General features: G+C 46.1%; 1 long non-coding RNA gene and 1 pseudogene across 4 annotated transcripts, besides 3 other annotated features; one reads left to right on the forward strand and one right to left on the reverse strand.

Moving 5' to 3' along the window:
* Positions 1-550: 550 nt before the first annotated feature.
* On the reverse strand, positions 551-10,202 carry LOC101926994 (uncharacterized). 3 transcript variants are annotated; one of them, XR_001751667.3, is made up of 3 exons: positions 8,681-10,202; positions 8,449-8,573; positions 551-711 (listed from the first exon to the last, which is right to left on the reverse strand). It is a non-coding gene; the product is annotated as an uncharacterized LOC101926994 (long non-coding RNA). The 3 variants fall into 3 exon arrangements; XR_001751666.3 differs by lacking the exon at positions 551-711 and adding an exon at positions 2,259-2,626; XR_007064766.1 differs by lacking the exon at positions 551-711 and adding an exon at positions 2,259-2,626 and having other exon boundaries at positions 8,449-8,570; positions 8,681-9,214.
* Positions 10,203-15,968: 5,766 nt separating this feature from the next.
* ASB9P1 (ankyrin repeat and SOCS box containing 9 pseudogene 1) lies at positions 15,969-17,593 on the forward strand (annotated as a pseudogene). The gene has a single exon (NR_033769.1). The product of NR_033769.1 is annotated as an ankyrin repeat and SOCS box containing 9 pseudogene 1 (transcript).
* Positions 18,266-18,435: an enhancer, noted in NCBI's record as "experimental_42698 CRE fragment used in MPRA reporter constructs". NCBI's record gives its function as "activates a minimal promoter by MPRAs in K562 erythroleukemia cells, with activity observed for both the introgressed and non-introgressed 15:93341096 variant alleles {active_cell/tissue: K562}" and the evidence as "EXISTENCE:reporter gene assay evidence [ECO:0000049][PMID:34662402]".
* Positions 21,538-22,389: an enhancer, noted in NCBI's record as "H3K27ac-H3K4me1 hESC enhancer chr15:93344283-93345134 (GRCh37/hg19 assembly coordinates)". NCBI's record gives its function as "activates a minimal SCP1, AML or CMV promoter by ChIP-STARR-seq in naive H9 embryonic stem cells {active_cell/tissue: H9 hESC(naive)}" and the evidence as "EXISTENCE:reporter gene assay evidence [ECO:0000049][PMID:30033119]".
* Positions 24,927-24,976: an enhancer, noted in NCBI's record as "active region_10118". NCBI's record gives its function as "activates an Ori minimal core promoter by ATAC-STARR-seq in GM12878 lymphoblastoid cells {active_cell/tissue: GM12878}" and the evidence as "EXISTENCE:reporter gene assay evidence [ECO:0000049][PMID:35858748]".

The raw sequence follows: 26,298 nt of genomic DNA on the forward strand, positions 1-26,298 counted from the left end.
AGTAGCTGGGATTACAGACATGCACCACCACGCTTGGCTAATTTTTTATATTTTTAGTAGAGATGGGGTTTCTCCATGTTGGTCGGGCTGGTCTCAAACTCCCAACCTCAGGTGATCTGCCCGCCTCAGCCTCCCAAAGTGCTGGGATTACAGGCATGAGCCACCACGCCTGGCCTCAAGTTATCTTACGCAGGTCAGGTACTGGTTACGCACGTCCGTGTAAAGAGACCACCAAACAGGCTTTGTGTGAGCAATAAAGCCTTTTAATCATCTGGGTGCAGGCCGACTGAGTCCAAAAAAGGAGTCAGCAAAGGGAGATGGGGTGGGCCAGTTTTATAGGATTTGGGTAGGTAGTGGAAAATTACAGTTAAAGGGGGTTTTTCTCTTGTGGGCAGGGGCAGGGGTCACCAGGTGCTTGGTGGGGAGCTCCTGAGACTCAGTCCAGGAGAAGGAATGTCACGAGGTCAGTTGTTCAGTTAGGGTGGAGCAGGAACAAATCACAAGGGTGGAATGTCATCAGTTAAGGCAGGAACTGCCTATTTTGCTTCTTTTGTGGTTCTTCAGTTGCTTCAGGTCATCTGGATGTATACATGCAGGTCACAGGGGTTATGATGGCTTAGCTTGGGCTTAGAGGCCTGACAGTGCCCTTGTTAAAATGAGTTAGAACCTACATAATCCCAGTAGCATTGCCTCTTTAAATGTACAGCATATCTATGATATTCAAAATAAACACAGACATGGGATTGATCTAAATTTTACTTTACAGGTAAAAGAAAATTACAATTCAGCATGAGAACATTCTTCATAAGTTTTACCTATGGCCCCAATGATAATTAGGCCAACTGTATCCTGAGTGTATATGAATGTGTGAATACATACACATACTAATGTATACAAACCAATTCACACAACACGACTCTCCAGAGATGTTGCTTGAAGCACCAGAGAGTAATTTCTTTATTTTTAGTTTTGAAGAGACAGGGTCTCACTAGGTTGCCCAGGCTGGTCTTGAACTCCTGGCCTCAAGTGATCCTTCTGCCTCAGCCTCCCAAAGTGCTGGGTTTACAGGTGGGAGCCACTACACCTGGCCGCCTTTTGTATTTTTTAAAGCTTGAAGCACATATGTGTATTACTTATTAAAAATTTAACAAAGAATTTTAAAAAGAGAAAGAAAGGCCTTTTAGAGGATAGGTCATTTTAGGACTCCCTGGTTCCAAGATATAACTCAATTGTCCTGTAATGAGATAGATACTTCCTGAATCTATTGGGGTTTAAGATTAAAAAAAAAAAAAAAAAAGACGTTCTCTTATTCAGACCCATTTATATAGTTCTCATTGCCTTTTCTCATTATGCTCCTGAGGCTCATTTGAAGCTAACACTCAAGCACCAGTGACATCTGGTAACATGGGTAACCCTGGGCAACCAGCTTCTCTCATAGTTGTCATAGCAACAATGATGTTCTGACAGCTGAGTTTTCATCGTGAAGTAATTATCAAGCTTTGGGGAGGGCTCCTCCATGTTTGCAGTTGTTTACGTCAATGAGGTTTATGAATGAACCTCAATTAGATGCAATTTTGATTGAAGTGTTAAGAGAGGCTGTGAATTGAGTCAGATTTACATATCCTTCCACCCAGCCTGGCAAATCTGGTGAATTGTAGGCCTGGTGCAATTCAGAGAGGGGGTGTGACTTGCACTTCAGCCATCAAAAGCCACTGGATATGCGAGGCTTGGTGGCTCATGCTTGTAATCCCAGCACTTTGGGAGGCTGAAGTGATCACCTGAGGTCGGGGGTTCGAGACCAGCCTGGCCAACATGGCGAAACTCCGTCTCTACTAAAAACACAAAAAAAGGCCAGGCACAGTGGCTCACACCTGTAATCCCAGCACTTTGGGAGGCCGAGGTGGGCGGATCACCTAAGCTCAGGAGTTCGAGACCAGCCTGACCAACATGGTGAAACCCTGTCTCTACTAAAAATACAAAAATTAGCAGGCATGGTGGCACACGCCTGTAGTCCTAGCTACAGGGGAGGCTGAGGCAGGAGAATCCCTTGAACCCAGGAGGCAGAGGTTGCAGTGAGCTGAGGTCACGCTACTGCACTCCAGCCTGGGCAACAGAGTGAGACTCCATTTCAAAAAAAAAAAAAAAATTAGCTGGCTGTGGTGGACATGCCTGTAATCCAAGCTACTCGGGAAGTTGAGGAATGAGAATCTCTTGAACCTGGGAGGCGGAGGCTGCAGTGAGCCGAGACTGCACCACTTCACTCCAGCCTGGGCAACAGAGCAATACTCTGTCTCAAAAATAAATAAATAAAAATGTTTTTTTAAAAAGCCACTGGAAGGCTGAAGACCTGGCACGTTCCAACCTGAGATGAACAGTTTCTTCTCTATCCTCTGTTCCCCCACCCAACCACAAGTAGCAGGAACAGACCCAGCAGGTCCTTGATTTCAACCCAGCATATAAAACAAAAGTTCTGATTTGTCAAAACTTTGTAAAACCCATATGTCTATATAATTAGCCCCATTTCACACTGGCGAAACCTCGGGTTTAGACTGCTCAGACTCTTTCCGCTGGACAGCAGTGAAGTCAGGACTCACAGCCACATCTCAGCTTCTTCCACTTCTGCCACCTGCTCAGAGCCAGGAATAAATATTTCTTTGGGTTATCTGGAAAGTGACACTGAGCCTTTCTTACGTCCACAAGCCTTTGTTAAAAGAACAAGTGCTTCTGCATCTATCAGCCAAAGTCAGTAGAAGTGGCTTGGTTCTGGCAGCCAAGAACCCAGCTTGTTGGTGACAAGCTCCTGGTGACACATATGAACTCTTAACCTCTGATTTGAGTGAGGAATTGTAACCAAGTGCCCCTCATTTTTCTAAGAGATAGTTTGTTTCTCTCCCTTCTTTTCTCATTCCCCTGGTTCCCCACTTCCCACTTAGTCCCTTAGAAATGCAAATATAGGCCAGGTGCGGTGGCTCACGCCTGTAATACCAGCACTTTGGGAGGCCGAGGCAGGTGGATCACCTGAGGTCAGGAGTTCGAGACCAGCCTGACAAAAATGGTGAAACCCTGTCTCTACTAAAAATACAAAAAATTAGCCAGGTGTGGTGGCGCATACCTGTAATCCCAGCTACTCAGGAGGCTGAGGAAGGAGAATCACTTGAACTCGGGAGGCGGACAGTGCGGTGAGCCGAGATTGCACCATTGCACTCTAGCCTGGGCATGAAGTGTGAAACTCCCTCTCAAAAAAAAAAAAAAAAATGTCCGGGCGCGGTGGCTCACGCCTGTAATCCCAGCACTTTGGGAGGTCGAGGCGGGCGGATCACGAGGTCAGGAGATTGAGACCATCCTGGCTAACACGGTGAAACCCCATCTCTACTAAAAATACAAAAAATTAGCCGGGCCTGGTGGCGGGCTCCTGTAGTCCCAGCTACTTGGGAGGCTGAGGCAGGAGAATGGCGTGAACCCAGGAGGCAAAGCTTGCAGTGAGCCGAGATCACGCCACTGCACTCCAGCCTGGGCGACAGAGCGAGACTCCTCCGTCTCAAAAAAAAAAAGAAAAAAAAGAAAAGAAAAGAAAGTTAACAGTAGCTTCAAACAATAGCCAAGGAAGTTAGAGTCACAAGGTGTTGGTTCCCTACGTAACAACTTAACATATGTCCCTGAGTTTTTCAGAACTCCCACCAAATGGATCCGCTGGCACGTAGACCTCAGCTAAGGGGCAAACTGAGGACTGCACTTTGACTACCATTCTTTGTCCTGAAGTTCTTCCTGAGAGGCCTGGAGGAAGTCACACCCACAAGGCAGTGCTCACATCTTCTGCTGCTGACCCCAGCTTTTTAAAGAAAGCTTCTCCTCCTCAACCAACTACAAATCAGAAAATCTTTGAATCTACCTAGGACCTCTAAGCACCACCCTCTAACCCTGCTTCGAGATATTCCATCTTCTAAGGCCAAACCAATGTATAATCTCCATGTATTCATTTACAATTTTGCCTGTAACTTCTCCTTTCCTGAAATTTTCCCCTGCTTTTAAAAACCTTTGCTTACAAGCCATCAGGAAGTTTGGATCTTAAGCATGAGCTGCCTGATTCTCCTTGCTTGGTGCCCTGCAATAAATGATTCACTTTCATTTGCTGCAATCCCAATATCACTGTTTCGCTTTGCTGCATACACACACACACACACACACACAAACCACAAAGAACGAAAGAAAAAACAGTGTAAAAAAATGTAAAATTTTTTTAAGAGAAAATCTAGCGTGTATATATTTTATATAATATTTTTGTTTAACTATATATACAGACATATATATGTTACATGTGTGTATTACATATATACATATGTTATATGTGTGTGTTACATATATACATATGTTATATGTGTGTTACATATATACATATATATGTTATATGTGTGTGTTACATATATACATATATATGTTATATGTGTGTATTATACATATTTTGGGGGCAAGGGGGTCTCGCTCTGTTGCCCAGGCTGAAGTACAGGGGTGCAATCATGGCTCACTGCAGCCTCAACCTCCCTGGCTCACTTAATCCTACTGCCTTAGCCTCCCAAGTATCTGGGACTACAGGCACACACCACTGCACCCAGCTAATTTTTGTTTATTTTTTTTTTGGTAGAGACGGGGTCTCACTATGTTTCCCAGATTGGTCTCAACTCCTGGCTCAAGCAATCCTCCTGCCTCTGCCTCCCGAAGGCTGGGATTACAGGGGTAAGCCACTATACTCGGCTGCAAATATATATATATTTTTGAGACAGAGTCTCGCTCTGTCTCCCGGGCTGGAGTGCAGTGGTGCGATCTCAGCTCACTGCAGCCTCTACCTCCTGGGTTCAAGTGATTCTCCTGCCTCAGCCTCCTGAGTAGCTGGGACTACAGGCTTGCACCACGACGCCCGACTAATTTTTGTATTTTTAGTAGAGACAGGGTTTCACCATGTTGGCCAGGATCGTCTCGATCTCTTGATCTCATGATCCGCCCGCCTCGGCGTCCCAAAGTGCTGGGATTACAGGCGCGAGCCACCGCACCCAGCAAGCTGCCAATATTTTTTAATTAAAGCTTTATTGGTAGCTTAAAGGTTTGTACACCTAGGCCAATGTACTATCGTTAGATTCAGGATAGACAAGAGTTAGGAAAAGGGAGATTATGAAAGAAGTGGGAAAGGAAACTGCAACTTTATCGCAGGAGAGTTCCCAAGGCAGATCAATTTTAGAAAAGAGTGCATATAAATATAGGAGATTTGGGCCAGGCGCTGTGGCTTATGCCTGTAATCCCAGCACTTTGGGAGGCTGAGGCAGGCAATTCACATAAAGCCAGGAGTTCGAGACCAGCCTGGCCAACGTGGCAAAACCCCGTCTCCACTAAAAATACAAAAAAAATTAGCCAGGTGTGGTGGTGGACACCTGTAATCCCAGCTACTCAGGAGGCTGAGGCAAGAGAATCACTTGAATCTGGGAGGTGGAGGTTGTAGTGAGCCAAGATCACGCCACCACACTACACCCTAGGTGACAGCAAGACTGTCTCAAAAAAAAAAAAAAGGAGATTTGGAAATGTATTTCCTTAAAACAAATCCACATACACCTTGCAGAATGCATACACATAAATACTCCAATTTGAAGATGCTGATCTAAAACATTCTAAGGTCTATCTGAAAGAACTTAGAAATTCATTAATCTTAAATTTTATTTAGTATGTACCTCAGAATAACTAAGGTAACCACCAAAAGAATAGATATTCTTATAGAGACATAGAATAGTTATTCTAAGAAGAAAAAACTAGAAGAAGAGGAAAAACAAAACCATTAATCAGCCAAGAGGTAGGTGGTGGTGGAAGAGAAGAGCAAACAGAAAAAGCAGAAGAAATACAATAGACTATAATAAGGTGGTAGAAAATAAATCCAAATAAATCAACAATTGCAGTAAACTTAAAGGGAAAAACTTTCAAATTAAAAGGCAAAGATTTTTCAGACTAGACTTTTTTTAAGTTAGATATAGCTGCTATTTTAAAGAGAGGCCACACACACACACAGAGAGAGAGAGAGAAATAAAAAGAGAGAAAGAGCGAGAGAGAGAGAAAGAAAAGCCGGGCACTGTGACTCACGCCTGTAATCCCAGCATTTTGAGAGGCCAAGGCAGGCAGATCACTTGAGGCCAGGAGTTCAATTATCAGCCTGGCCAACGTGGTGAAACCCCATCCCTACTAAAAATACAAAAATTAGCTGGGCGTGGTGGCACGTGCCTGTGATCCCGGCTACTTGGTAGGCTAAGGCAGGAAAATCGCTTGAACCCAAGAGGCGGAGGTTGCAGAGAGCTGAGATTGCACCGCAGCACTCCAGCCTGGGTGACAGAGTGAGACACCATCTCAAAAAAACAAAAAAAAGAAAGGATGGGAGGGGAGGGAAGGAAGACACAGACACACAGAAAAGTCAAGGGTGTCAAGATTGAGAATATTATAGCAGGCTAATACTAACTAAAAGAAAGTTTATATTGCTACATTATCAAACAAAACAGGCTGCAAAACAAAGAGAATTACTAGCAATGACAAGGAAACAACATAATAAAAGGTTCTACTCATCAGAAAGAAGTGAGTCTAACTTTTAACGCACATAAAGCAAAAATTAACATAGCTGCAAGGAGAACTTGATAAATCCACCATCATAATGGGAGATTCTAACACTCCTCTCCCAGTAATAGATCGATAGATCTGACAAAGAAAGAGCGAGAATATAATAAGACTCAGGCTGAGCACAGTGAATCACCCCCGTAATCCCAGCACTTTGGGAGGCCAAGGAAGGAGGATCACTTGAGCCCAGGAGTTCAAAACCAGCCTGAGCAACATGATGAAACCCTGTCTTTACAAAAAATAAAAAAATTAGCTAGGTGTAGTGGTGTGCCCCTGTAGTCCCAGCTACTTGGGAGCCTGAGGTGGAAGGATCACTTGAGCCGGGGAGGTCAAGGCTGCAGTGATCCATAATCCTGCCGCTGCACTCCAGCCTGAATAAAACCCTACCTCAAAAAAAAAAAAATATAGTAAGGCTCATAAGAATAAAGATAATAAAGATGGTACCATTAGCAAACTTGCCCATTAGACACCTGTGGAACACAATAGCCTACAAGTGGAAAATGCACACTGTTTTCAAGAACACAGAGAACCTTTACAAAAAGTAACCCCATGCTAGACCTGTAAGGTCTGCTCAAAGAAGATGTCAAACGATTGACATTATGCAGACTTCATAGTCTGACCACAATGCAGTTAACAATTACACGAAAATAGCAAGAAAAAAACCCATATGACTGGAAATTTCAAATACATTTCCAGATAACGCATGGATCAAAGAAGAAATCATAATAGAAATTTCAAAATATTTAGAACGGAACCACGACAAAATAACTACATTCGGAGATGACTGGCTTATCACAAAAATATCCCTTAGAGAAAAGTTTGCAGCCTTAAAAAGTTTCCATTAAAAAATTAAAAAGTCGCAAAACGAATGCGTTAAACCCCTAATTCAAGGTGCCTGGAAGGGTCTACTTCTCATCCCTCTTGCCTCCTCACTTCTCCCTGAATCTCCCACCTTATTCACACTCCTTCCTCCTCCGATTTCATGTACTTCCTGAGTTTTTCCCATGTGCCAGGCACTACCCAGGCACTACCACCTCCCCCACCATCTTCATCATCAATTCTCTGCAATTGTTCAGATTTCTCTTCTGCATGTGATGGTAACTCCTGGGGTATTCAGTACCCAACATAACCCCCTTTGCACTCATTCATTCAACAGTAACAAACACCTGTTGACTCTCAGCTCTATACCAAGGTGGGCTGGATGCTAGGAACATGGAGACCAAGAACAAAAGCCCCGTTATTGCCCTAGAGCAGCGTTCTCACAGTGTGGTCCCCAGACCAGCACCATCAGCATCAGCTGGGAATCTTCTGAGACATGAAGTTCTCAGGCTCCACCCCACACCTACTGAATCAGAAGCTCTGGAGTGGCGCCCAGCACTCTGGGCTTTAACAAACCCCTGGATACTGATGCTCACTAGAAGAGTTTGAGAATCACTGGCCAGAGGAGTTGGCAATACAACAAATACAAGCAAGCAATTATAATGCAGTGGGTAGAAGGAGCCACCAAAATGTCCATCACAAGGAACCACGAAAGCCTTAGAGGGTCACCTGCTCTGACCTACAGTGAAAGGCCCCCCTACCCCCACCTAAGCCGGGCTCTGAGAAATAGTTCACCAGGCAATGTGGGACAGTGAAGAACATCCTAGCAGTTGAGGAAAATAAAAGGTAAGGCCAGAAATAAAGAAAACTATAATGTGCTCAGAAAACTTAGAGTCATTAGGAAGCTGGAGACATTACTATGAAGGTGTGGGCACGTGAAGAAATGAGAACAGAGATGGGACAGGGATCAGATCCTGAAAACCATCATACCTGGTGAGGAGTTTGTGTTGAGGATGTAACTGAGAAGGAGCTGCAGAAATGTTGGCCACTACCAGTGACATCCACGGTCATCACAGCTCCGTTGATGACAGAACAGAACTCCCAAGCAGTGTCTTCTGGGAAACAGGAACATAATGAGTATATTACCTTTTTATTAAGTTGGAATATCTGAAACAGAAAAGTTATTTGTCACAAATGTCCAAAGCACATAGGAGTCACTCACCTGTCTGCCGTGGTGTGGATGTGCCAGCATGAATTTACAGTCAGCTGAGTGACAGGAGAAGGACCATTTTATAATCTCATAGCTTTGAATGGGGTGTGATATGGTTTGGCTCTGTGTCCCCACCAAATCGCATGTTGAACTGTAATTCCCAATGTTGCGAGAGGGAGCTGGTGGGAGATGATTAGATCATGGGTGGATTTCCCTTTTGCTGTTCTTGTGATAGTGAGTTTTCATGAGATCTGGTTGTTTGAAAGTGTGTAGCACTTCTCCCTTCACTCACTCTCCCGCCTACTGCCATGTGAAGACGTGCTTGCTTCCCCTTCATCCTTCCACCATGATTGTAAGCTTCCTGAGGCCTCCCCAGTCACACCTCTTGTACAACCTGTGGAACTGTGAGTCAATTAAACCTCATTTCTTTTGGTTTTTGTTGTTGTTGTTGTTTTGAGATGGAGGCTCACTCTGTCGCCAGGCTAGAGAGCTGTGGCGCAATCTCAGCTCACTGCAACATCCAACTCCCCGGTTTAAGGGATTCTCCTGCCTCAGCCTCCCCAGTAGCTGGGATTACAGGCATGCGCCACCACATCCAGCTAATTTTTATATTTTCAGTAGAGATGGGGTTTCACCATGTTGGCCAGGATGGTCTCGATCTTCTGACCTCCTGATCCGCCTGCCCTGACTTCCCAAAGTGCTGGGATTGTGTCTGGAGTTGGTTCCTTCTGGTGGGTTCGTGGTCTCGCTGACTTCAAGAACGGGGCCGCGGACCTCCGCGGTGAGTGTTACAGCTCTTAAAGGCGGCACGGACCCAAAGAGTGAGCAAGATTTATTGTGAAGAGCGAAAGAACAAAGCGTCCACAGCTTAGACGAGGACCCAAGCCAGGGGCTGCTGCTGGTTGGGGTGGCCAGCTTTTATTCCCTTATTTGTCCCCGCCCATGTCCTGCTGGTTGGTCCACTTTACAGAGTGCTGATTGGTCCATTTTACAGAGTGCTGATTGGTCCATTTTACAAACCTCTAGCTAGCCACGGAGTGCCGATTGGTGTGTCTTTACAGAGCACTGATTGGTGCATTTTACAATCCTCTTGTAAGACAGAAAAGCTCTCCAAGTCCGACCCAGAAGTCCAGCTGGCTTCACCTCTCAGGATTACAGGCATGAGCCACCACGCCAGGCCAAACCTCTTTTCTTTATAAATTATCCAGTCTCAGGTAGTTATTTATAGCAATGTGAGAATGAACTAATACAGGGTGAAATCCAGCTCAAAGCTGAGCTGATATTCTTACACTGCTCAAACACCAATGAGACTATGATGAAAATGATAGTGATTAACTCAAATAGATGCTTTAGTAATCAATAAACATCCACTCTGCAGGAAGGCCCATCCATCGCCCCCTGAGCTAGAGACACTGTCCCCTTTGGATCCAGACATAAGTATGTATTAGGACAAAGCTATCAAACTCATCTTTTCTTTTTTTGAGACGAAGTCTTGCTCTTGTCCCCAGGCTGGAGTGCAATGGCGCAATGTCGGCTCACTGCAACCTCTGCCTCCTGGGCTCAAGCGACTCTCCTGCCTCAGCCTTCCAAGTAGCTGGGACTAGAGGCGCCTTCCACCACGCCCGGCTAATTTTTGTATTTTTAGTAGAGACGGGGTCTCACCGTGTTAACCAGGACGTTCTCGAACTCCTGACCTCCTGATCCACCCACCTCGGCCTCCCAAAGTGCTGGGATTACAGATGTGAGCCACCGCGCCTGGCCTGTCAAATTCATCTTAAAGCGCTTTTCCTTGCTGCTATAGACAGTTTAGAAGAAACGGAAACTCAGAAGCTTGCACTTGAGCAGCTGCTAAGAGAAATTGTATAAAAATGAGATTTTGCCCTTAAATGCATTTGTATGGGGCATTTTCAGGTCAATTTCTGAATACTAAAAAGATCTAATCACTACATTGTGAATAAGATACAGTTATTTAAAAATCCCTGGAGCAGTCAAAGACTCAGACTGATGGTTAACCTTTCCTGAGAGTCAAGAAAATTAACCAACCAAGTTTAATTTAATTTAGGGTTTTTCTTACTGACTTAATATTTATTTCTAGGCCACAAAGCCTCCCTCTCTGTGTAAAATCGGGCAAAAATTAATCACTTCTCCCACCGGACAGGTTATTTGCATTCTTTTCAACATTATTTTAAAATAGGAAATACATAGCGCCTGGCACAAAATGTGAAAGATACAAAAGAACATACAGAAAATAGCACATCAGACTGGGCACTGTGGCTCACGCTTGTAATCCCAGCACTTTGGGAGGCCAAGACAGGCGGATCACTCAAGGTCAGGAGTTCAAGACCAGCCTGGCCAACATGGCTAAACCCTGTCTCTACTAAAAATACAAAAATTAGTTGGGTGTGGTAGTGCGCATGCCTGTAATCCCAGCTACTAGGGAGGCTGAGGCAGGAGAATCACTTGAACCTGGGAGGCAGAGGTTGCAGTGAGCCAAGATTGCGCCATTGCATTCCAACCTGGGCTACACAGCGAGACTCGGTTTCCAAAAAAAAAAAAAAAAATTGGTCGGGCATGGTGGCTCACATCTGTAATCCCAGCACTTTGGGAGGCCGAGGTGGGTGGATCACCTAAAGTGAGGAGTTCAAGACCAGCCTGGCCAACATGGTGAAACCCCATCTCTTACTAAAAAAAAATATAAAAATTAGCCAGGTGTGGTGGTGCACACCTGTAATCCCAGCTACTTGGGAGGCTGAGGCAGGAGAATCGCTTGAGCCTGGGAGGCAGAGGCTGCAGTGAGCTGAGATTGTGCCTCTGCACTCCAGCTTGGGTAACAGAGCGAGACTCCATCTCAAAAAAAAAAATGGTTAAGATAGCCGGGAGCAGTGGCTCACACCTGTAATCCTCCCAGCCTTTTTGGGGGTCGAGGCAGGTGGATTACATGAGGCCAGGAGTTCAAGACCAGTCTGGACAACATGGTGAAACCCTGTCTCTACTAAAAATACAAAAATTAGCTGGGCGTGGTGGTGCACACCTGTAATCCCAGCTACTCAGGTGGCTGAAGCAGGAGTATCAGTTGAACCCAAGAGGCAGAGGCAAGACTAAAAAAAAAAAAAAAAGATGCCAAGCGAGGTGGCTCATGCCGGTAATCCCAGCATTTTGAGAGGCCAAGGCAGGTGGATCACCTGAGGTGGGGAGTTTCAGACCAGCCTGACCAACATGGAGAAATCCCGTCTCTACTAAAAATACAAAACTAGCCGGGCGTGGTGGCGCATGGCTGTAATCCCAGTTACTCGGGAGGCTGAGGCAATATAATCACTTGCACCAAGGAGGCAGAGGTTGCAGTGAGCCGAGATCATGCCATTGCACTCCTACCTGGGCAACAAGAGCAAAACTCCATCTCAAAAAAAAACAAAAAAAGGTTAAAAAAATTGTTAAGATGGCCAATTGTATGTTATATGTATTTTACTACAGCTTTTTAAAAATCAATTTCCTGTATACTTATTTATTCATTCATGCATTTGTTCAATCATTCAATAAAACTATATGTGCCAGAATCACACAGAGATTTATGTAAAGACTTATCTGTGGACTAAGAAAGACAAAAGGAAATTAAATAGGCAAAGAAATGACATGAGGACATTATAGGCATTAAGTTCAGGATGTGGAAAACCAAAAAAGCTGAACCAGAGATAAGACGAAGTGAACAGAGACCAGAGGTAAAGACCTCAGGTACCCTGCTAAAGAAGAGATTCTATTCTCTAAGAAGCAAGAGCAACTAAAGATGTATGTAGCACACAGACCTCCTATCCTGTGTTTTAGGTGGGCTCTGGCTTCCACTTGGAAACTGGATTAGAGGGAGCCAGGTAGAAAGCCAGAAGGAGAGGAGACAGGAACCACAACCCTGGCAGGGCGATGACAGCCTCCATCACAGGTCGCAAACGCACATACCTACACAGGCTAGCCAAAGACATCTCCAAAGTACAACCACTCAGGCCTGTGGCAGTCTGAGATCTCTCACCTGGCCATAGTGGACATTTATTAGGGCTTCCAGAATATGAAGAGGAACCAGACACAGATCCATAGGTGAAAGGGGACTCACCATTGCCTCTTACACTGACCGCTGCCCAATTTTTGTCATGCTGGATAAAACATGAGGCAAACTGCCGGGCACGGTGGCTCACGCCTGTAATTCCAACACCTTGGGAGGCAGAGACAGGAGGATCTCCTGAGCCCAGGAGTTCAAGACCAGCCTGGGCAACATGGGGAGACTCCGTCTCTATTTTTTTTTTTTAACAACAACAAAAAAGACATGAGGCATAGAGACTAAAGCAGAAAAGAAATCCTTCTCTCCTGCTTTCTTTCAAAGGGGGAACAAGTAACAGGGAGGCTACCTCAATTTTTACCTCTCCAGAAAAAGACAGGAAGCAGGACACAGGCTACTGTAAGTCAGGGCATAATTCATTGCTCTGATGGTTCTCCAAGTGCCATCCCTGAGCCAGCAGCATTCACATCCCCCAGGAGCTTGTTAGAAACTCAAATTCTCGCCAGGCGCAGTGGCTCACACCTGTAATCCCAGCACTTTGGGAGGCCAAGGCAGACGGATTACCTAAGGTCAGGAGTTCGAGGCCAGCCTGGCCAATATGGTGAAACCCTGTCTCTACCAAAAATACAAAAATTAGCCACGCGTGGTGGCAGACGCCTGTAATCCCAGTTAATTGGGAGGCTGAGGCAGGAGAATTTCTTGAGCCCGGGAGACAAATGTTGCAGTGAACTGAGATCGTGCCACTGCACTCCAGCCTGGGCAATAGAGCAAGATTCTGTCTAAAAAATATATATATATATATATTAGGCCTGGCCCCAGCCCTACTGAATCAGAATCTCTGGGGATGGAGCTTAGGAATCTGTGCTTTAACAAGCACAGATGTAAGTTCAAGTTTAAAACTGCTGGGCCTGGTGGATCACTGCTGTAATCCCATCACTTTGGGAGGCTGAGGCAGGCAGATGACTTGAGGTCAGGAGTTTGAGACCAGCCTGGGCAACGTGGTGAAACCCCTTCTCTACAAAAAATTAGCCGGGCATGGTAGCATGACCTGTAGTGCCAGCTACTCTGGAGGCTGAGGTGGGAGGATTGCTTGAGCCTGGGAGGTGGAGGTTGCACTGCACTCCAACCTGGATGACAGAGGGAGACGCTGTCTCAAAAAAAAGGTTTAAAACCACTCCTCTTTATAATATAGTGTACATGCCACTTATGGCATGCTCCCTGATCTTCTACCCGACTTACCTGTTAAAACTAATGCTCAGGCTCCTTTGAATTTACTCTTGGTAAAAAAAAAATTGCCTGGCGGGGAGCAGTGGGGCATGCCTGTAAGCCCAACACTTTGGGAGGCCAAGGCAGGTGGATCACCTGAGGTCAGGAGTTCCAGACCAGCCTGGCCAACATGATGAAACCCTGTCTGTACTAAAAATACAAAAAAAAAAATTAGCTGGGCTTGGTGCCATGCACCTGTAATCCCAGCTACTCAGGAGGCTGAGGCAGGAGAACTGCTTAAACCGGGGAGGCAGAGATTGCGGCGAGCAGAGATCACGCCACTGCACTCTAGCCTGGGTGACAGAGTGAGACTCTGTCTCAAAAAAAAAAAATTGCCAAATTTATCTCCTCACCAAAAATTTAAAAATTTACTTGTGTGAACGTGTCACAAACACATAAAGCAAAGTACACCTGTCTCATGCATTTTATGTATATTCCATCTTATTTCATAAAACCTTTGAGGTGGTTGGTGTACAGGTAATGAATGTTTACCTTAGATTTCAAATGCACTTTATGAAGACTGTTAAAATGTTTAATCTGTAGAAGATCCAGAAGTTTGTAGGGACTTGGAGACCAGAGCTTTCTAGTCCACAAAGTCAAAAAGCCTAGGAAACATACACCAAGAGAAACCATCTATAAGAAGCCAGGCAGAGGCCGGGCGTGGTGGCTCACACCTGTAATCCCAGCACTTTGGGAGGCAGAGGCAGGCAGACCACTTGAGGTCAGCAGTTCCAGACCAGCCCAGCCAACTTTGTGAAACCCCGTCTCTACTAAAAATACAAAAGTTAGCCAGGCGTGGTGGCACACGCCTGTGGTCCCAGCTATTTGGGAGGCTGAGGCAGGAGAATCACTCGAACCCGAGAGGCAGAGGTTGCAGTGAGCCGAGATCACAGCACTGCACTCCAGCCTGGGTGACAGAGAGCGACTCCATCTCAAAAAATAAAAATAAAATAAAGAAGCCATACAGAAATCCTGTGTATCCAGGTGTCCTGGGGTCTTCAAGGTGAGGGCACTCAGTGGTCCTCTGTTGTTATATAAGAAAGAATGTGAACATTTTACTGAAATTTTAAGAACCACCTATTTTTCTCCCTGTTTACAAAATATGTCGGCTGGGCATGGTGCCTCATGCCTGTAATCCCAGCACTCTGGGAGCCAGAGACAGGCAGATCACTTGAGGTCAGGAGTTTGAGACCAGCCCGGGCAACATGGCAAAACCCCCGTCTCCACTAAAAATACAAAAATTAGTCACGGCACACGCCTGTAATCCCAAATACTGGGGAGGCTGAGGCACGAGAATCACTTGAGCCTGGGAGGCAGAAGTTACAGTGAACCAAGATCCTGCCACTGCACTCCAGCCTGGGGGATAGCGAAAGACTCTGTCTCAAAAAACAAAAACAAAACAAAATATATCTGTTGCCATTAAGGAGCGTTTTGTTCTGGCCCTCTCCAACTACTTGAGCCCAGGATTTTGAGACCAGCCTGGACAATATAGCAAGATCTACAAAAATTAAAAATTAGGCAGGCATGGTGGCACACACCTGTAGTCCTAGCCACTCAGGAGGCTGAGTGGGGAGAACCGCTACAGGCTGGGAATTCGAGGTTACCATGAGCTATGATCATGCCACTGCACTCAAGCTCTGGGCAACGGTGACAGAGCAAGACTCTTTTAAAAAAAAAGAAAAAAACAGGTGGCTGGCTGGGCGCGGTGCCTCACGCCTGTAATCCCAGCATGTTGGAAGGCCGAGGCAGGCGGATCACGAGGTCAGGAGATCGAGACCATCCTGACTAACACGGTGAAACCCCGTCTTTATTGAAAATACAAAAAATTAGCCGGGCGCCTGTAGTCCCAGCTACTTGGGAGGCTGAGGCAGGAGAATGGTGTGAACCTGGGAGGCGGAGATTACAGTGAGCCCAGACTGCGCCACTGCACTCCAGCCTGGGCGACAGAGCGAGACTCCGTCTCAAAAAAAAAAAAAAAAAAAAAAAACAGGCGGCCTCTGGCGGGCCTCCAGCCAGTTAGACCATTTGACTAGGACGTGTGCAGCTCAGCCAGCCACAGAACTGGAATTTTTCAGGAGCAGGGGGAGCATGGAGTTTGGACTTTGCTGAGCAACTGAAGTGGAGCGCAGAGCTTGCTCGCTTAGGAGAGGGCAGCATGGATGGCAAACAAGGGGGCATGGATGGGAGCAAGCCCACGGGGCCAAGAGACTCTCCTGACACCAGGCTTCTTTCAAACCCATTGATGGGTGATTCTGTGTCTGATTGGTCTCCTATGCCTGAAGCTGCAATCTACGGACATCAGCTGTCTCTGAGGAACCTCATCAGCCACGGGTGGCTTGTGAACATCATCATGGCAGATCATGTTTCCCCACTCCATGAAGCCTGTCTCAGAGGTCATCCCTCTCGTGTAAAGATTTTATTAAAGCATGGAGCTCAGGTGAATGGCGTGACAACAGACTGGCACACTCCACTGTTTAATGTTTGTATCAGCAGCAGCTGGGATTATGCTTCTGCAGCATGGAGCCAGCGTTCAACCTGAGAGTGATCTGGCATCCCCCGTCCATGAAGCTGCTAGGAGAGGCCACGTGGAGTGTGTCGACTCTCTTACAGCTTATAGGGGCAAAAATGACCATAACATCAGCCACGTGGGCACTTCACTGTATTTGGCTTGTGAAAACCAGCAGATAGCCTGTGTCAAGAAGCTTCTGGAGTCAGGAGCAGACCTGAACCCAGGGAGAGGTTCCCCACTTCATGCAGTGGCCTTCATGAAGGCCCTCATGAAGGATTCCCCACTTCATGCAGTGGCCAGGACAGCCAGTGAAGAGCTGGCCTGCCTGCTCATGGATTTTGGAGCAGACACCCAGGCCAAGAATGCTGAAGGCAAATGTCATGTGGAGCTGGTGCCTCCAGAGAGCCCTTTGATCCAGCTCTTCTTGGAGAGAGAAGGGCCCCCTTCTTTTGATGCAGTTATGCCTAGAAATCAGAAGGGCTTTGGAATCCAGCAGCATCATAAGATAACCAAAGTCGTCCTCCCAGAGGATCTGAAATGGTTTCTCCTACATCTTTGTATGTATCAATGGAATGGATTCACAAACAATGTGAAAACATTATTGAGTGTTGTAGCCACTAGAATTTTAAAATCAAGTTAGGTTTATAGAGTTTGACTAGTTTTTTCGATTAGATTTGTATTAGTTATAAATTTGTTCATAGAGTTTGACTAATTTTTTCGATTAGATTTGTATTTGTTAAACTCTGAAGCCAGAGTTTAAACACACTGCATACGTTTGTATGATTAGTTAGAAGGCATGAAGACTTTTTTCCCTGCTTGGAGACTGTCTAAAATAACAGCTATTGTTTTGCATATCCACTGCAGGCCAAGCACTTTCAGCATCATCTAATTCAGCCCTCACAGCAACTGGGTCAATCTGTCCAATTTCCCAGGGCAAGGATAGAGGAGTCAGATTCAAATACAGGTTTTCTGACGTTAACTTATGTGATGATTTGATCAAAGCAGGATTTTCCAGCATCACTATCCTTGTTCCATCTCTGCTATATGGGAATGAAAATAAAGAAATGTATTTCAAAAAAATAAAAAGAAAAGAAAAACAGAGACGGTCTCCTGGAGTTGAATTCAGGTCTCCTCCTTAGATGGTGACCATGGGAAAGCAGCTTACACTCCCTTTGCTGGCGTAACCAGCAGGTACTGCTGTAAACTTCCTGGTACAATACCTGAAACAAGGCAAACACTCAACAGATATCTTGCATATATTGATTCCCTTCTCTGCCAGTACAGTAACATCATTGAGAATGGACCCAGCAGTATAATAACATCAGTCACCACTAGATGGCAGTAATGGCACTAAGTAATTAGTTATTAAGATGTCCTTTTTAACAAAATGAAGTAGCTAAACAACTACAAAAAAAAGACTGGTCCCTCTTAGACCTAAGTATTATTTCTATTACCTAGCTTTTACTCATTATTTCATTCAGCAAATATGTATTCAATGCCTACTATGTGTCAGGCACCACAGCAGGCAGTTAGGATACTAGGCTCAGCCAAGGAAGACACAGTACCTGCGCACACAGACCTTAAGGGGTAGGTAGGAAAACGGACAAAGAATCACACCAGTAAGATACCACAGCATAGTAAGTGCTGTGAGAGTACATAAGGAAGAAGCAGCCTGATGCGGGGAAAGGAAGGTGTCCCTGAGAAGCAGATGAGAAAAAGATGAAGGAGCCAAGATCCAAGGCAGATAGACGAGAGGTGAGGGGTGGAAACGGGGTCCCCAAGAAGAGCTTGCCAAAGGCTCAGGAGCAGGCTGGGGCCTGCTGCTGGAGGGACATGCAGAGGCCAGGGCTTGCATGCCTCAGGAGCCTTATTCAAGTTGGGAAGTTTTGTCTTTTTTTTTTTTTTTTCTTAAAAAAAAAAAGGCCTGGCGCGGTGGCTTACGCCTGTAATCCCAGCACTTTGGAAGGCTGAGTCAGGTGGATCACGACGTCAGGGGTTCAAGACCAGCCTGGCCAAGACGGTGAAACCCTGTCTCTACTAAAAATACAAAAAAATTAGCTGGGCGTGGTGGCAGGCACCTGTAATCCCAGCTACTCCGGAAGCTGTGGCAGAGAATTGCTTGAACCCAGGAGTCGGAGGTTGCAGTGAGCCGAGATCGTGCCACTGCACTCCAGTCTGTGCGACAGAGTGAGACTCCGTCTCAAAAAAAAAAAAAAGAGAGAGAGAGAGGCAGGCCAGGTGCGGTGGCTCACACCTGTAACCCCAACACTTTGGGAGGCCGAGGCAGGCAGATCACTGGAGGTCAGGAGCTTGAGACAACATGGTGAAACCCCATCTCTACTAAAAATACAAAAATTAGGCCGAGTGTGGTGGCTCACACCTGTAATCCCAGCACTTTGGGAGACTGAGGCGGGTGGATCACTTGAGGTCAGGAGTTCAAGACCAGCCCAGCCAACATGGCAAAACCCTGTCTCTACTAAAAATACAAAATTAGCCAGGCTGGTGGAGCGTGCCTGTAATCCCAGCTACTCGGAAGGCTGAGGCAGGAGAATCACTTGAACCCAGGAGGCGGAGGTTGCAATGAGCCAAGATTGTACCACTGGACTCCAGCCTGGACAAAAAGACCAAAACTTGGTCTCAAAATAAATAAATAAATAGATAAATTAATAAAAATACAAAAATTAGCTGGGCATGGTGGTGCATGCCTGTAGTCCAAGCTACTTGGGAGGCTGAGGCACAAGAATCACTTGAGCCTAGGAGGCGGCGGTTGCAGTGAGCCGAGATCGTGCCATTGCACTCCAGCCTGGGAGACAGAGCAAGACCCTGTCTCAAAAAAAAAAAAAAAAAAAAGAATGTTAAAGAAAAATTATTATTTATGACATTTGTTAAAAGGTGCTAAGGCAGACTTTATCCAAAAGGGGCCACAGTGATAGGTGTAGGGACCACTGCCACAGGGTCTTGCAGTGGGGACGAGAGATTGGACTCAACCCTGACTTCAACAAAGACAAGGGGAGATTTATACCCAAGGAGCACGATCTCAGCTCACCACAACCTCTGCCTGCCAGGTTCAAGCAATTCTCCTGCCTCAGTCTCCCACACACCCAGGTAATTTTGTATTTTTAGTATAGATGAGGTTTCAACATGTTGGTCAGGCTGGTCTCGAACTCCTGACCTCAAGTGATCCACCCACCTCAGCCTCCCAAAGTGCTGGGATTACAGGCATGAGAAGCCACGCCTGGCCTCAGATGAGACTCTTGTAATGCTTTTGTTTTTGTTTTCGTTTTTGTTTTTGAGATGGAGTCTTGCTCTGTCGCCGAGGCTGGAGTGCAGTGGCACGATCTTGGCTCACTGCAACCTCTGCCATCCCAGTTCCAGCGATTCTCCTGCATCACCCTCCCGAGTAGCTGGGATTATAGGTGTGTCTCACCACGCCCAGCTAATTTTTGTATTTTTAGTAAAGACAGGGTTTCAGCATCTTGGCCAGGCTAGACTTGAACTCCTGACCTCATGATCCACCGGTCTCAGCCTCCCAAAGTGCTGGGATTACAGGCGTGAGCCGTTGCACCCAGCCCGAGACTCTTGTAATGTTTTAATAGGCTTCAAATGTTTCTAAATAAGAAATATTAGGGCATATAAAAATAGAAATACCAGGCCAGGGGGCCGTGGCTCACGCCTATGACCCCAGCACTTTGGGAGGCCAAGGCGGGTGGATCACCTGAGGTCGGGAGATCGAGATCAGCCTAACCAACATGGAGAAACCACATCTTTACTAAAAATACAAAATTAGCTGGGCGTGGTGGCAGATGCTTGCAATCCCAGCTACTTGGGAAGCTGAGGCAGCAGAATCACTTGAACCCAGGAGGCAGAGGTTGCAGTGAGCCAAGATCGTGCCATAGCACTCCAGCCTGGGCAACAAGAGCAAAACTCCATCTCAAAAAACAAAACAAACAAACAAAATAGAAATAACTAGTAAGGACAGCAGCAGGAGTGAATATTGATTAAGCAAGACTGGTGATTAGTTGAGAATCGTTAAAGTTGGGTGATGGGTACATGGAAGTTCATTACATTATTTTCCACTTTTGTATATTTCAGGGTTTGGGTTTTTTCATCACAAAAAGTTTTGTGTTTGTTTTATGGTTTTGGGGTTTTTTTAGTTAGCATCTTGCTCTATCACCCAGGCTGGAGTGCAGTAGTGCAAACATGGCTCACTGCAGCCCTGACCTCCTGGGCTCAAGTGATCCTCCCTCCTCAGCCTCCCAAGTAGGTGGGGCTACAGGTGTGCACCACCACACCCAGCCAATTTTTTTTTTCATTTTTGGTAGACAGGGGGTCTTGCTATGTTGCCCACGCTAGTCTCAAACCCCTGGGCTCAAGTGATCCTCCTGTCTCACCCTCCCAAAGTGCTGAGATTACAGGTGTGAGCCACCACACCCAGCATATCGAGAAGTTTTTTCCATTTTTTGGGTTTTGGGGGAAGTTTTTTGTTGTATTTTGGTTTTTTTGTTTTTGTTTTTATTTTTGTTTTTGTTTTGAGACAGGATCTCTGTTGCCCAGGCTTGGTCATCTCTCTACTTAGTGATCAGTGGGCATCTCTGTTGCCCAGGCTTGCAATGGTGTGATCATGGCTCACTGCAGACTGGATCTCCCAGGCTTAAGCAATCCAGTTTTTTGTTTCTTTGTTTTTTCGTTTTATTTGTTTATTTATTTATTTTTGAGACAGAGTCTAGTTCTGTCACCCAGTCTACAGTGCAGTGGCGTGATCTTGGCTCACTGCAACCTCTGCCTCCTAGGTTCAAGTGATTCTTCTGCCTCAGCCTCCCGAGTAGCTCGGACTATAGGCGCCCGCCACCACGCCCAGCTAATTTTTGTGTTTTTAGTAGAGACAGGGTTTCATATGTTGGCCAGGATGGTCTCAAACTCCTGACCTCAGGTGATCTTCCTGCCTCGGCCTCCCAAAATGCTGGGATTACAGGCATGAACCACCGTACCCGGCCCCAAACAGTTGTTTTAGTGAAGACGTTGCCTTAGTCTCTTCCCACTTATAATATTTTCATTTGCCCTACTGCCCTCCAAGGTAGAAGATGCACTAAAATCCAGTTCCTCCCTAGGTTTACTGTAATATATAAGCTTCTAAAATTTTTTTCATCTTATAAAGGTTGAAAATTGCTGATGACTAATTGGAAGCTTCGCACAAATCCTTGGAATTTTTTTTTTTTTTTTTTTGAGATGGAGTCTTGCTTTGTCGCCCAGGCTGGAGTGCACTGGCACGATCTTGGCTCACTGCAGCCTCTGCCTCTTGGATTCAAGCAATTCTCCTGCTTCAGCCTCCCGAGTAGCTGGGACTACAGGCATGCGCCGCCACGCCCAGCTAATTGTTGTATTTTTAGTAGAGACAGGGTTTCACCATGTTGGCCAGAATGGTCTTGATCTCCTGACCTCATGATCCACTCACCTCAGCCTCCCAAAATGCTGTGATTACAGGCGCGAACCACCACGCCCAGCCAATTCCTTGGATTTAAGAGCCGACAGCTGCGAGAACTTCCCTTCTGGCAGGCAAACCAACTCCAAGGCATGAAAGCCACAGGAATGCTGGGGAGATAAATGCAGGAAGACACAGGTCCTACTCAATGGCACCATCACCCTGCACTGCTGTGGCCAGGCCTCCAAGGTTCCCTGGCTCCTTCTTCCAGGCTGCTGAAGGGGACCCTGGAGCACCTTGGTTGAGAGGAGTCCCTGCCCCAGCTTTCGGGGCACAGGCCCCTACTGTCCTTTTCTGCCTTGTCTCTGGCCCTTCTCCCCTATCTTCCAGCCACACCAAACAACAGGCCACACCCTGCTGCACTCAGCTTTCTCCCACAGACGTGTTTTTGCCGTTTCTCATGCAGTAGCTCACTGCCTGGAATGGGCTTCCCAGCATTTCCCCTAGAAATTCCATTTGCTCTTCTGAATGCCTTATAAGGATCTCTTCTCCAGAAAATGTCCTTACTAATCCTATCAGTTGGGGTTACCTAGTCATCTCTCTACTTAGTGATCAGTGTTCAAATCCTGCTTCTCTATACCAGCTCTGTGAGGTTGAATGAGCTATTCCATCTTTTCTGTCTAGGTTTTCTCATTTCCTTTTTTGTTCTTTTTTTTTTTTTTTTTTTTTGAGACAGGGTCTGGCTTTGTCACCCAGGCTAGAGTGCAGTTGCGCAATCTCGGCTCACTGGAACCTCCTCCTCCCAGGCTCAAGCAATTCTCCCACCTCAGCCTCCAGAATAGCTGGGACCACAGGCATGTGCCACCAAGCCCAACTAATCTTTTTGTATTTTTAGTAGAGATGTAGTTTTGCTATGTTGCCCATGCTGATCTTGAACTCTTGAGCTCAAAATTATCCACCCACCTTGGCCTCCCAGAGTGCTGGGATTACAGGCATGTGCCAACATGCCCGGCTGGGGCCATGCTCTTTCTGAAGCCTCCAGAGGAGACCCTCTGTTCCATGGCTTTTTCTTCTGGTGTTGGTGGCAGTCCTTGGAGTTCCTTGCTTCATGGATGATACTTCACTCCAGTCTCTGTGGCAGAAATTCTCTGGTGTGTGTAGACAAGCCTTCCTCTGCCTCCCTCTTAGGAAGATACATGTGATAACACTTAAGGCCCACCCTGATCATCCAAAATCATCTCCCCATCTCAAGATATTTTTTTTTTTTTGAGATGGAGTCTCGCTCTGTTTCCCAGGCTGGAGTGCAGTGGCGCAGTCTTGGCTCACTGCATCCTCCGCCTCCCGGGCTCAAGTGATTCTCCTGCCTCAGCCTCCTAAGTAGCTGGGACCACAGGCATGTGCCACCATGCCCGGCTAATTTTTGAATTTTTAGTAGAGGTGGGGTTTCACCATGTTGGCCAGGCTGGTCTTGAACTCCTGACTTCAAGTGATCCACCTGCCTCGGCCTCCCAAAGTGCTGGGATTACAGGCGTGAGCCATCGTGCCCGGCATCAAGATCCTTAAATTAAGCTGGGCGTAGTGAGCCGAGATCATGTCACTGCACTTCAGCCTGGGCTACAAAGCAAGACTCCATCTCAAAATAAAATAAAATAAAATAATTTTTTTTTTTTTGAGACGGAGTTTCGCTCTTGCTGCCCAGGCTGGAGTGCTATGGCACGATCCTGGCTCACCACAACCTCCGCCTCCTGGGTTCTAGTGATTCTCCTGCCTCAGCCTTCCAAGTAGCTGGGATTACAGGCATGAGCCACCACACCCGGCTAACTTTGTTGTATTTTTAGTAGAGACAAGGTTTCTCCATGCTGGTCAGGCTGGTCTCGAACTCCCAGCCTCAGGTGATCTGCCCACCTCGGCCTCTCAAAGTGCTGGGATTACAGGTGTGAGCCACCACACCCTAAAATAAAATTGTTTTAAAAGTAAGATCTTTAACTTACACACCTGCACATTTGCAAAGCCCTAGTTGTTGGGGTTTTGTTTTTTTGTTTTTTTTTTTCTTTGAGACAGAGTCTCACTGGGATTGCAGGTGTGAGCCACCTTGCCCTGCCTGTGTTTTGGTTTTTGTTGTTTTTGCCAGATAAAGTAACATTCAGTTTCCACATATTGGGATATCACTGGGAGACCATTATTCAGCCCACCACACACATCCCCAAATCTACCAGGTTAAATGGAGGTAGATTTTTAAGCTTCCCAAGTAGCTGGGACTACAGGCATGCACCACTATGTCTGGCTAATTATTTTTATTTTTTATACAGTTGGGGTCTTGCTACATTGCCCAGGCTGGTCTTGAACTTCTAGGCTCAAGCAAACCTCCTGCCTCTGCCTTCCAAAGTGCTGGGATTACCGGTATGAGTCACCACACTGAGCAAGGGAGAAGAATTTTAAGAGTCCCTATAATAACTCCACACCTCTCTAAAAACCGCACTGCTCGCCCCTCCCCACTCCCACAGGTTTTGGAGTTTCTGACTCCTGAAAGAGAATGAGTCACAGACAGTTCCCGTCAGAAAAGACTATGTCCCTCCCACCTCTCATTTAGTTCCCGTTTGTTTAGGATTCAAGTGTCTTGGGCAGTTAGATAGCTCCCCAGCCTACCCAGTTTCCCTCTTGCCTCCCCTCTACTACCCCCAGAAATGCTTGTGCAATATTGGACTGACTCACCCAGAAATAACTCATGACTCTCCTTTGTTTACAGTTTAAGAGACTAGGGTGTTGAAATATCTCAGCAAAGGCCACTGAGGGACTCTTCAGTCCAGGGACAATGAAACACTGGACAACCTGGGAGGAGTTAGGTACATTCTCTGGCCTTCTCTCAGAGGGGCTTTTGCTGTGTTGTAACAGGCAGTGGAGTGTTGGTAAATATTTAACAAGGCATCTCCAAGGGGAAAAGCCTTAATATGTAGTGTTTACCTATTCCTGTGGTGTAAATACCCCTGCTATGGCCAGTTTCAAGCTACCAACATGATGTCATTGAAACCAAAGTTGGAAAGAAAAGTGCATCATCATTCTGAGCAGCTGACTCCAACACGCCACTGTAGCTCCACTGACCTAAGGGAAAACTGTCAGTCTTCACTCCATAAGGATGTACAGGCCCAGGGGCTGGACAATGTAGCTCTTGGAAGATCACAATAGAGTCAGTTTCCTAATTTCAGGGACCAACTGTTACTGCTAAGAATAAATGGGAGGCCAGGTGCAGTGGCTCACACCTGTAATCCAAGCACTTTGGGAGGCCGAGGCAGGTAGATCACCTGAGGTCAGAGTTCGAGACCAGCCTGACCAACAGAGTGAAACCTCGTCTCTACTAAAAATACAAAAATTAGCCAGGCTTGGTGGCGTGCACCTGTAATCCCAGCTACTCAGGAGGCTGAGGCAGGAGAATCACTTGAACCCAGGAGGCAGAGGTTGCAGTGAGCCGAAATCACACCACTGCACTCCAGCATGGGCAACAGACCAAGACTCTGTCTCAAAAAAAAAAAAAAAAGAACAAATGTGTAAAATAGTCACAGATCTTTACAATCCCATCCAGCGATGAGGTTCTAGGTACAAAACAAACATTAACATCTTTCTCCTCTGGAATCGCTTGAACCAAGGAGACAGAGGTTGCAGTGAGCCAAGATCGTGCCACTGCACTCCAGCCTGGGAATCAGAGTAAGACTCCGCCTCAGGAAAAAAAGAAAAAGAAATCTTTTTCCTCTGAACTCTCATCAAACTTCTATTTCTACATCTCTTTTGATTTTTTTTATTTATCTAACAATGACTGTGCCAAGCAATATTCCAAATAAGGTATATACCGTGACACAATCCAACCTCACAACAAGCCTACAGGCAAGTACTTTATGTATTTATTTATTTGTTTACTTATATATTTGTTGACACTGGGTCTCACTCTGTTGCCGAGGCTGGAGTGCAATGGCACCATCTGGGCTCACTGAAGCCTCGACCTCCTGGGCTCAAGCGATCCTCCCACCTCAGCACCCCCAGAGTAGCTGGGATTACAGGCACACGCTACCACACCCAGCTAATTTTTGTAATTTTAGTAGAGAGGGCATTTCACCTTGTTGCCCAGGCTGGTCTCGAACTCCTGGACTCAGGCGATCCACTGCTTCAGCCTCCCAAAGTGCTGGGATTACAGGAGTGAGCCACCAAGCCCAGCCTGGAACAAGCACTTTTTACAAATCTGTTTTACAAAGGAGCAAACTGAAGCGCTGAGAGGTTAAGTTACATGTCCAAAGTCACAAAGCCCTGAATTGCCTTTGCAATGCCCCTTAAAAAGTGGCAGAATAAATGCCCAACCCAAGAAGCTCTTCACATATTTGATTTAGATTCCACATAAAAATAAAAGC

This window comes from Homo sapiens, chromosome 15 (assembly GCF_000001405.40).
Source record: "Homo sapiens chromosome 15, GRCh38.p14 Primary Assembly".
NCBI classification, from domain to species: domain Eukaryota; kingdom Metazoa; phylum Chordata; class Mammalia; order Primates; family Hominidae; genus Homo; species Homo sapiens.